Below are 12,429 nucleotides of genomic sequence, written 5' to 3' on the forward strand. Positions count from 1 at the left end.
CATTACCATGAGATGTTCCATGCAGATTTCTTTTGTACAAATCTGTGCTACTATTACAATCTGGACCTCTATATCTGGAGATATGACAAGGAAGAACAGTAAAATGGGATGATTTTAAGATAAATATCTTACCAACGATGGGTGGTCCTAGGCTATTTCCAAGTCCAGCAAAGAACATTAATATCCCATAGGCATGGGCTAATTTTTCAATTCCCACAGTCTTCGTGGTCACATATGGAAAGATGGACCAATTACCAGTAAGAAACCCTAGGATCCCAGAAAGCAACGCCAATGTGACATAGCTTTTGGCAAATGGAATTGCACACAAGGCTAGGCCCATGATGATTAAGGTAGCAACATAAAGATACAAGGTATTAATCCACTTGAAGTCAGCCAGTATCCCTAAAAGCAGTTTACCAACTGCTGTCATAATGCCTATAATGGAAATAAGTGGCATAATAAACTCTTCTTCTTTCACGTTTGAACTTCTTGCTACATCTTCCATAAGTAATGAAGGTGGAAACCCTCCGATGTCAAAGAGTAAGATAGCAATGAAAAGGGCTGAAAATACTTTGTTTTTAAAAAGAGCCACAGTTTCACCACAGTAGTTTTTATATAACTGCCACTTCCTCTTGGCAAGCTGTTTGCAAAAATATGTCTGTTCTGCAACTTTCTTTTTGTACGTTTCAGGCTCTTTTGTGTGTGTCACTGTGGGGTTTTTATGAAGTAGGCTGTCTTGTTTCCAGTCACCATTGGCTAACGTGATCCTGCATTTTTCCTCACTACTGTAGCTCTTGTCAAGAATGTTTATGTTTTCTTCCAGATTCTTTCCTTTTTCATTGTAAATGGAGTATTTATCTGGTAGATCTTCTGGAGCTATTTTTTTAGGCAAAGGACAATCAGAAGATTGGAGGGGTCTCATCAGACTGCCACAGGCTAATATATTTAAAGCTAAAGCACCCACAATCAGCAAGCATCCATCCAGTCCATAGAACTCAACCAGCATCCTCTGCAGAGCAGCATATATGAAAAGGCCAACGCTTGAACCTAAAAAGGGAATGGGAACTGTTCAACCTCGTAATCTGAGGCTCTCAGGATTAGAATTTGTAATATCACAATTCAATTTATTTTTTATACTGGCATTTATATGTAACTTCATATTAAAATCATATTAAGAAGATAGAAGATAACAATAATAACAATAATATAGTAATACTGATAGAACATTTAAGAATTAGAATTTGCAGCTCAGACACTGTTAAGCACTTTACATTGCACGATCATGTTTAATGCTTTTACTGATCCCATTGAGTAGGTCCTATTATTATTCCCAATCTAGAGATGAAGTGACCTAGGGCTGGAATGGTTGAGAAATTTGCCATAGATCAAAAATCTGTAAAGAACATAAATAGGATTCACACTCAGTCAGTTTGAACCCAATAGCCCATATTCTTAACAAGTATCATCGGCTGGGTGTGGTGGCTCAGGCCTGTAATCCCAGCACTTTGGGAGGCTGAGGTGGGTGGATCACGAGGTCAGGAGTTCGAGACCATCCTGGCCAACATGGTGAAACCCCGTCTCTACTAAAAATACAAAAATTAGCTGGGCATGGTGACACACGCCTGTAGTCCCAGCTACTTGGGAGGCTGAGGCAGAAGAGTCGCTTGAACCCAGGAGGTAGAGGTTGCAGTGAGCCAAGATTGCACCACTGCACTCCAGCCTGGTGACAGAGTGAGACTCCGTCTCAAACAAGCAAACAAACAAACAAAAAAACCCAAAAACCAAGTATCATCATGAAACTATTTTCTTTGCACTTATTATGTGCCAGGCTCCATGCTACATATTTATTCCAGAAAAGTAAATTTTCATATTTTACTTTTTAAAAATAGTATATTGCAGTTTAAGGATATTTATAATGGCTTGATAGTTCAAATCCATTGCTGAATCACCGGAATGAGTGAGTCATCCTTTTCATGCATTAATACAATTATGAGAAAAGTAGAATTTTTTTAGGGTATTTAAATTACAAAGTATGCTGGTTTATACATCTATGTAACACTGTGAATAATTCACCTTTTTAGCACTGATCACACTAAACACAGAGGGTTGCCAAGTTATGGTAGCCTAATCAATTGGTACTGTTCTCATCTGGTTCTGATTTCAATCTTTAATAAACTGAGCATTTTTAAATGTAAATGTCATTGGGAAATGTCATGTGAAAAATCAGGAAAAAAATAGTCTGAAAAGGTTGATCATATGTTTAAAATGGTCAGTATTAAATTACATTATAATCTCATCAGGATGCCAATAGGACCAAGCTCAGAGGCATCACTGATTGCATGGATATGATTGCTATAAAAACCCATCTAATAAAACAATTCTTCCAAATAGCCAAATGGCTCTGCCTTAGAGTTGTAAGAAAATATTTTCTTTGGGACCTCAGTTGTCCCTTCTTAACATTTTTTAAAGTTAACCCCTTCATTCCCAAAAGGAAAAAAAACTTTGCATGCAAATATTAATGTTTCATGTTAATGTAATGGCAACTAAAATAGTATCTTTTGGGACTGCTAAGAGAGTATCTCTTTGCTAACTACTGAGAAGTAATAACAGTAGACAAATGTAACCCTTTCCTTCTCTCATTAAACGTGGCATATACTGTAAAAGTTAAAAACGCTACAGAAAACACACTGACAGAATTAAAAACAGCAGGGTGACCTCATGTACTGCATTAGTACCCATTAACTATAAATTTGTGATTTTTGCCTATTTCTTTGTACAGATTCTAACAAAGTGTCACATCATTAGATACTTAAAAATGCTCTTGGTGTTTTGAAAGTTCTATATTTTCACACAGAACAAATAAATAAACAACTTTCCTATTCTTGCCAACCAAGTTTATCTGTCAACATGATGAAAATCAATTCAACAGATATTTATTGAACACATAAGATAGCAGAGAATGGGGAATATCAAATTACACATTGGAGGCTAGTTTCCTCAGCCTTCATCCCACAAGAACATGTCTGTGGTTTAGAAAGATACAGGATTTTTTTCCCCCAGGGTATTGAAAAGTAATTTAGAGTTTCCTGGTGGAATTTTGTAAACTGCAAAACTGTGATTGTTAAAAATTTTAAGTTCCAGGATACATGTGCAGGACGTGCAGTTTTGTTACATAGGTAAATATAGCCATGGTGGTTTGCTGCACCTATCAACCCATTACCTAGGAATTAAGCCCTGCGTGCAATAGCTAAAACTGTAATTTTTAATCTTCAAAAAGAGCATCCTAATTTTAAAATAATCATTGTAAAGGGTTAAGTGAAATAAAGCACTAATTATGCTTCCATGCATGTTATACATTATTACAAAGAGAGAAAATATTAAATGGCGTTCAGGGAACACGAAGCAGTGAGAAATACAGCCATGCTTTAACTCATTAATACTAGGGGTCAATAACTTCCCGAAAGGATCAGAGAGTAAATATTTAAGGCATAGAGGGTGTACAATCTCTGTCCCAAATACTCAACTCTGCCCTTGAAGCATGAAACCAGCTAGAGATAATCCATAAAAAAATGAGCATGGCTGTGTTATAATAAAATTTTATTTATGCACGCTGAAATGTAAATTGCACATAATTTTCACGTATTATGAATATTCTTCTTTTGATTTTTTTCATTCATTTAAAAATGTAAAAACCAATTGTAGCTTGTTAATCATACACAAACCAGCAGTAGGCCAGATTTGGCCCATAGGCATTTGTGGACCAACCCCTGTTCACTACAGAGGAAGATCGCTTCCCCCAAACCTTCATTTCATGCCCACATTCCTTTCTTTCAACTAGGTCACAATATTTCAAGTGTTTTGATGCGGGGTTTCTTTTTAATTTTTAAAAAACTCTGCTGTGACTTTTGTTTAGCTTATCATATCTTTGACTGAAGGTGGGTTCATACTTCTCCCTAATTTCCCTTCACCTAGCTCCCTGTGAGTTGAAACTGAAAACTCCTTTAAATCTTGACTGCCCATAGTTGCTTCATTTTTTATTTAGTGTGCTATGGACCAGGCCCCTATGCCCTCCTCTCAAGACTGAGTGAAAAGCAAGATCATCTGTCACAGCATGCAACTCCCAACACCTTCAACACAAATACATTTGGACATTAGGGAAACCTAGGTCAGAATTATAACTGCTAACACTTGAGAGCCCCTGTCATGTGCCTTACACATACATCCCTTTCATATGTCCAATAACCCAATGTGATGGGTACTATTTGTAAATCAAAAATAAAATTCTAAGCCACCCAGCCAGCTGATGGACCCTCCCCTTGGCCAAGGGTATTCTGAAGTAAACCTGAAAAACTAGTTCAGGCCGTGATAAGGTCAGGGGGATGGGGGCTGGATATGCCTCATTATACTCTCCCCTCTTTGGAATTCAAACACAGCTGACCAGTATTAACATTAAAACAGGCACCTTAAGACTGATAGAACAGACTCTTTAAGTCTGATAAGAAATATTCCCTTCTATTGATTCTATCTGCATAATGGGAACCTTGGTCTCCACAACCCCTTGTCTTAACCCAGACATTCCCTTGTATTGATTCTAGATCTTCAGACAATAACTTAACCCTTTCAATTTACTGCCACTTAAAAAATTCTTGAATCCACCTACAACCTGGAAGCCCCTGTTTCCAGTTGTCCTGCCTTTCCAGACCAAGCCAATGTACAACTTACATATATTGATTGATGTCTTATGTCTCCCTAAAATGTATAAAATCAAGTTTAGCCTGACCACCTGAGACAGACTCTCATGGGACTCTGTCACAGGCCATTTGTTACTCATAAAAATTCAAATATTTTAAAGAATTTGACTCTTTTCATCAACGTACTATTATCCCCAGTTTACAGTTCCAAAACGGAGGCACAGGACAGTTAAGTAACTTGTCTAACACCAGATAGCTAGTGAGTGACAGAAGAGGATTCAAAACTAGACAGTGTGGATCCAGGCTTGTGCTTCTAACTCGATGTCATACTGCCTCTACAGCAAATATAGTACAGGTGAGACCCACTGTCCTTGAAGCTGCCATGCCTACTCTTACAGTCCTTCCCACACTTGTGGAAGATCCTCACAGGTTCTGCAAACTGCATTCCAACTACTCTGGATTCCCCATCTTCTGTTTTTGCATCCCTTCTCCCATCACTGCCTTAGCCATGTCCTCTGACTCTGGCCTTGTCTCCACCTAGACCACAATTCACACTTCTCACCGGGCAGTGCTTTTTAAAATATGTTGGGGAAATATACAGCTGGATTCAATTCAACCATGAATCACTTTGTTGCCACTGGGTTGGCCTCAGGAATAAAATATTAGTTTGGATCCTGTTGCCAGAATAACTACTGACGTTCTTCAGGCTATCTAAAAGCCTGACCTTCCAGGGTTACCCACCTACCAGCAAGAAGCATATGTAAATTTACAACTTTTGATAACTTGGCAACTGTATGTCCTAAAAAACTCAGGAAATGTTGGCCACATAAATTTTGATAAGAACTGTACATAACTTTAAAAAATTCATCTGAAAACTGAAAAACCACTTTTATATGTCCAGAATGCTTTTATATTTAAAAATTATATTTTATATTTTCCCCCTCAGTGATCATCTCTTGATTACTAAAGGAATAACAAGAGTAAACAGCTTGTCATTTGGATATGCACGTAGGTCAGTGAGAGGTATTGAGAAACCAGTACTTTAGAAAAATTGTAAGTTCCACACTACAAGGAGGTGGAGACATGATCAGCATCAGTCTTTCTGACAGTGGCCTTAGGGATGTTAATTTTCGTTCCTTTTCTCCTATCTTTAAAGAAACAAAGATCAAAAAAGACAAAGAAGGGCATTATATAATGGTAAAGGGATCAATGCTAACAATCCTAAATATATATGCACCCAATACAGGAGCACCCATATTCATAAAGCAAGTTCTTAGAGACCTATAAGGAGACTTAGACTCCCACACAATAATAGTGGGAGGTTTTAACATCCCTCTGTCAATACTGGACAGATCAATGAGACAGAAAATTAACAAGGATATTCAGGACTTGAACTCAGCTCTGGACCAAGCACACCTAATAGACATCAACAGAACTCTACACCCCAAATCAACAGAATATACATTCTTCTCAGCATCACACAGCACTTATTCTGAAATAGACCACATAATTGGAAGTAAAACACTCCTCAGCAAATGGAAAAGAACGGAAATCATAACAAACAGTCTCTCAGACCACAGTGCAATCAAATTAGAGCTCAGAATTAAGAAAGTCACTGAAAACCACACAACTACATAGAAACTGAACAACCTGCTTCTGAATGACTACTGAGTAAATAACAAAATTAAGGCAGAAATAAATAAGTTCTTTGAAACCAAAGAGAACAAAGACACAATGTACCAGAATCTCTGGGACACAGCTAAAGCAGTGTTTACAGGAAAATTTATAGCACTAAATGCCCACAGGAGAAAGTGGGAAATATCTAAAATCAACATCCTAACATCTCAATTTAAAGAACTGGAGAAGCAAGAGCAAACAAATTCAAACGCTAGCATGAGACAAGAAATAACTAAGATCAGAGCAGAACTGAAGGAGATAGAGACATGAAAAATCCTTCAAAAAAATGAATGAATCCAGGAGCTGGTTTTTTGAAAAAATTAACAAAATACATAGACCGCTAGCCAGACTAATAAGTAAGAAAAGAGAGAAGAATCAAATAGACACAATAAAAAATGATAAAGGGGAGATCACCACTGATCACACAGAAATACAAATCCCATCAGAGAATACTATAAACACCTCTACACAAGTAAACTGGAAAATCTAGAATAAATGGATAAATTCCTGGACACACACACCCTCCCAAGACTAAACCAGGAAGAAGTCGAATTTCTGAATAGATCAATAACAAGCTCTGAAATTGAGGCAGTGATTAATAGCCTACCAACCCAAAAAAATGCCCATGACCAGGCGGATTCACAGCCAAATTCTAACAGAGGTACAAAGAGGAGCTGGCAGCATTCCTTCTAAAACTATTCCAAACAATAGAAAAACAGGGACTCCTCCCTAACTCATTGTATGAGGCCAGCATCATCCTGATACCAAAACCTGGCAGAAACAAAACAAAAAGAGAAAATTTCAGGCTAATATCCCTGATAAACATTGATACGAATTTCCTCAATAAAATACTGGCAAACCAAATCCAGCAGCACGTTAAAAAGCTTATCCACCACGATCAAGTTGGCTTCATCCCTGGGATGCAAGGCTGGTTCAACATATGCAAATCAATAAATGTAATCCATCACATAAACAAAACCAATGACAAAAACCAAATGATTATCTCAGTAGATGCAGAAAAGGCCTTCGATAAAATTCAACACCCCTTCATGCTAAAAACTCTCAATAACCTAGGTATTGATGGAACATATCTCAAAATAATAAGATCTATTTCTGACAAACCGACAGCCAATATTATATTGAATGGGCAAAAGCTGGAAGCATTCCCTTTGAAAACCAACACAAGACAAGGATGCCCTCTCTCACCACTCCTATTCATCATAGTATTGGAAGTTCTTGCCAGGGCAATCAGGCAAGAGACAGAAATAAAGTGTATTCAAATAGGAAGAGAGGAAATCAAATTATCTCTGTTTGCAGATGACATGATTGTATATTTAGAAAACCCCATCATCTCAGCCCGAAATCTCCTGAAGCTGATAAGAAACTTCAGCAAAGTCTCAGGACACAAAATCAATGGCAAAAATCACAAGCATTCCTATACACCAATAATAGACAGATAGTCAAATCATGAGTGAACTCCCATTCACATGCTACATAGAGAATAAAATACCTAGAAATACAACTTACAAGGCATGTGAAGGACCTCTTCAAGGAGAACTACAAACCACTGCTCAAGGAAATAAGAGAGTACACAAACAAATGAAAAAACCTTCCATGCTGATGCATAGGAAGAATCAATATCGTGAAAATGGCCATACTGCCAAAGGTAATTTATAGATTCAATGCTATTCCCATCAAGCTACCATTGACTTTCTTCACAGAATTGGAAAAAAACTACTTTAAATTTCATATGGAAGCAAAAAAGAGCCCATATAGCCAAGACAATTCTAAGCAAAAGGAACAAAGCTGAAGGCTTCACACTACCTGACTTCAAACTATACTACAAGGCTACAGTAGTACTGGTACCAAAACAGAGATATAGACCAATAGAACAGAACAGAGGCCTCAGAAATAACACCACACATATACAACCATCTGATCTTTGACAAACCTGACAAAAACAAGCAATGGGGAAAGGATTCCCTATTTAATAAATGGTGTTGGGAAAACAGGCTAGCCATATGCAGAAAACTGAAACTGGACCCCTTCCTTACACCTTATATAAAAATTAACGCAAGATGGATTAAAGATTTAAATATAAGACCTAAAACCATAAAAACCCTAGAAGAAAACCAAGGCAATACCATGCAGGACATAGGCACGGGCAAAGACTTCATGACTAAAACACCGAAAGCAATGGCAACAAAAGCCAAAATAGACAAATGGGATCTAATTAAACTAAAGAGCTTCTGCAAAGCAAAAGAAACTATCATCAGAGTGAACAGGCAACCTACAGAATGGGAGAAAATATTTGCAATCTATCCATCTGATAAAGGGCTAGTATCCAGAATCTACAAGGAACATAAACAAATTTACAAGAAAAAAAAAAACCCATCAAAAAGTGGTGAAGGATATGAACAGACACTTTTCAAAAGAAGACATCTGGCCAGGCACAGTGGCTCACACCTTTAATCCCAACATTTTAGGAGGCTGAGGCAGGCAGATCACAAGGTCAGGAGTTCAAGACCTCCATGGCCAATGTAGGGAAACACTGTCTCTACTAAAAATACAAAAATTAGCTGGGCGTGGTGGCAGGCACCTGTAATCCCAGCTACTCAGGAAGCTGAGGCAGGAGATCACTTGAAACTGGAAGGTGGAGGTTGCAGTGAGCTGAGATTGCGCCACTGCACTCTAGCCTAGGCAAAAGAGCAAAACTCCATCTCAAAAAAAAAAAAAAAAAAAAGAAAAGAAAAAAAGAAGACATTTATGCAGCCAACAAACATATGAAAAAAAACTCATCATCACTGGTCATTAGAGAAATGCAAATCAAAACCACAATGAGATACAATCTCATGCCAGTTAGAATGGCAATCATTAAAAAGTCAGGAAACAACAGATGCTGGAGAGGATGTAGAGAAATAGGAATGCTTTTACACTTCAATCATTGTGGAAGACAGTGTGGCAATTCTCAAGGATCTAGAACTAGAAATACCATTTGACCCAGCAATCCCATTACTGGGTATATACCCCAAGGATTATAAATCATTCTACTATAAAGACACATGCACATGTATGTTTATTGAAGCACTATTCACAATAGCAAAGACTTGGAACCAACCCAAACGTCCATCAATGTTAGACTGGATAAAGAAAATGTGGCATGTATAGGCCAGGCATGGTGGCTCACGCCTGTAATCCCAGCACTTTGGGAGGCCGAGAGGGGCAGATCATCTGAGGTTGGGAGTTTGAGATTAGCCTGACCAACATGAAGAAACCCCGTCTCTACTAAAAATACAAAAAATTAGCTGGGCTTGGTGGCACATGCCTATAATTCCAGCTACTCGGGAGGCTGAGACAGGAGAATCACTTGAACCCGGGAGGCAGAGGTTGTGGTGAGCCAAGATTGTGCTGTTACACTCCAGCCTGGGCAACAAGAGCGCAACTCTGTCTCAAAAAAAGAAAAAAGAAAGAAAGAAAGAAAATGTGGCACGTACACTCCACGGAATACTATGCAGCCATAAAAAAGAATGAGTTTGTGTCCTTTGCCGGGATATGAGTGAAGCTGGAAACCATCATTCTCAGCAAACTAACACAGGAACGGAAAACCAAACACCACATGTTCTCACTGATAAGTGGGAGTTGAACAATGAGAACATATAGGCACAGGGAGGGGAACATCACACACCAGGGCCTGTTGGGGGGTGGGGGGCTACGGGAGGGATAGCATTAGGAGAAATACCTAATGTAGATCATGGGTTGATGGGTGCAGCAAACCACCGTGGCACATGTATACCTATGTAACAAAACTGCATGTTCTGCACATGTAACCCAGAACTTAAAATATAATAATAATAAATAATAAATAACGAGATGGTTTACTTTGGACTTTCAGGAAGCAAACACAATGGCAGGAAAAAATAGCTTTTTTAGAAATATCATAAAGACAACTTTTCAAGTTTTATGATCATTTAAATTTAAGTTTCTAAAAGTGCTTTGACAATGATAGGTGTCCATGTAAAAATGTATTAATGTTATACTAAATATCAGTTTACAATTTTAGAAGAGCTATATATTTTAGAAAACATCCCATACAAGACATAAAAATTTATAATGTAAAATGTAAAAAAAAAAAAAAAAAGAAAGCTACTGCCATATTTATGGTGTAAAATAAACTTTCCTTCCAGAAGTAAAGAAATTATTTTGCTACCTGATTGGTAGCTGGGTAATGGTTGGTTAAACATGTCTGTGCTTGGTAACTTTTTACTTTGTTTAGAAGACTGAATGGTGACAATACTGTACTCATTTTGAAAATATACCTGTTGAAATCAGGCCAAGCGCTAGGCCTCGGCGATCGTCAAAATACTGGCACGTAATGGTCACTGTTGCAGTGTATAATAAACCACATCCAAGACCTAAGCATGAGAAGACATTGCATAAATTAAGACGCTGCATTACTTCAATGCAAGAGAAAAAAGGAAAAACAAGTATGTCCGATAAGACATTCCATTACTCACTGGCTAAAACTGTTACAAGTACAGACTCCTAGATTCCTTCCATGTGTGTAGCCCCAATAGACACCATTGGGCAGCCTCATTTTTCACCCCACACCCACCTTAAGATCAGGGTCAAGTAAAAAAGTATCCAATTTCTAAAGCATGAATGAATAACGCCAATGTAAATTAAGAGATTATGGAGAAAGAAGGAAAATGGCTAAATTCACATACCAAATAGCAAATTTGATCAAGTTTGCCCCTTAGAGATCTATGCCTCTTCCAAGTCCTTGCCCCCAGCTCAGTGTTCTTCCTCTTCTAAGTCCTCTAAACAACTTTTTAAAATACACTTGATCACTCAAAGCTATTTTGTCAGAGTTTAGCCTGCACAAGCCAGTCTGCAATATGAAGGCCCTGTGGGGTTCTCATATCATCTCACACAGTGAAATTTGTATCTGTAAGTCTTCATCTTTTAGAGGTGCATATTACCTTATTTAGAAGTAAAATGTAGTAATGTCTTTACTTTAAAATACTTTCACCAAAAAAAGGAAGCACATACAACAAAATACTGACAACTATTGGTGAGCATATGGTTGTTTGCTATACTATTCTCCACTTTTCTGTAAATTTGAAATTATTTTATAATTAACAACAAAAAAAAGTTACAACTAAATTTCTCTTCCTGAATCCTAAGGGTAATATTTATCTCCAGATCATCTCCAAGGCTCTCGTTTGTTAGCTTAATATTTTCTTCCCTTTTAAGAATCTGACAACCCCAGTTTGTTTTTCATATAATTCTCCGTTGGCCCTCAGTCATTTACTTTATGCTTTTCTTCCACAACATTATCTGTTCTTGAGGATCACTCTAAAACAACAAATAAGCCATAGTCTAATAACTGAATTTTAACTATGGCCTATTATGTGAATTATTAAGGCCATTTTCCTTACTTAAAATAGCTACCTGGACTATGATTTAAAAGAATACATGAGTTTAACAAATACACTGCATAAACATTTTAGGAAATCAGCACTTAACCCATGACTCAGATGATTATCCATAATTGCACACAGAGTCTTATTAATGAAATGAGAGAGATTAAAACAACTAGACTTTAACCCTTTAAAAATAGAGTGCCCTTTTATGTCATTTATGGGGAAAAAAATACTCTCAAAATCTAAGACATGAGTTGGATTAATTTATATAGTTGTCATTACTACACAGAGGACACTTCAAAACATGAAATAAGAACTGTTTCTAACCAATCAATTTTGTGAAGCCAAAAAGTGTCACCCTTAACTAAGACTATTTCTGAAAGCCTTTGGAGGCGGTTTTATTGTAAATAATGCAAAGTTACATGCTTTCCGTGATTTCGTTGTCAGAGCTGTGTCAAAGGTTAAGCATTCAAGACATGAAAAAAAGACATTTCAGGTTACTAAATGTCAATGCCAAAAAAGTTGAAACAGCAACTTTTAAACTTTAAATCTTATACTAAAATGAATTTTTTAAAATGATTTAAAGGCCTTAGGGTTCAGATAAGATTACCTCACTTTTTTTTAATGTAGCAGAAATC

General features: G+C 37.3%; 1 protein-coding gene across 14 annotated transcripts in view; it reads right to left on the reverse strand.

Annotated features, from left to right (window-relative positions):
• The window catches only part of SLC16A9 (solute carrier family 16 member 9), a 59,316-nt gene that overhangs the window by 2,779 nt on the left and 44,108 nt on the right, over positions 1–12,429 (reverse strand). For 9 of the 14 annotated variants that reach the window (NM_001323977.1, NM_001323979.2, NM_001323980.2 and 6 more), the window contains 2 exons: positions 10,685–10,780; positions 133–1,047 (listed from right to left, as the gene is read on the reverse strand). In NM_001323977.1, the coding sequence (NP_001310906.1) occupies positions 133–1,047; positions 10,685–10,780 (1,011 nt within the window). Of the gene's footprint in view, positions 1–6; positions 1,048–10,684; positions 10,781–12,429 lie in introns of all 14 variants that reach the window. The other 5 variants (XM_017015883.2, XM_047424753.1, XM_047424754.1 and 2 more) reach the window with 1 other exon arrangement.

The sequence above is a fragment of the Homo sapiens genome, chromosome 10 (assembly GCF_000001405.40).
Source record: "Homo sapiens chromosome 10, GRCh38.p14 Primary Assembly".
Taxonomy (NCBI): Eukaryota; Metazoa; Chordata; class Mammalia; order Primates; family Hominidae; genus Homo; species Homo sapiens.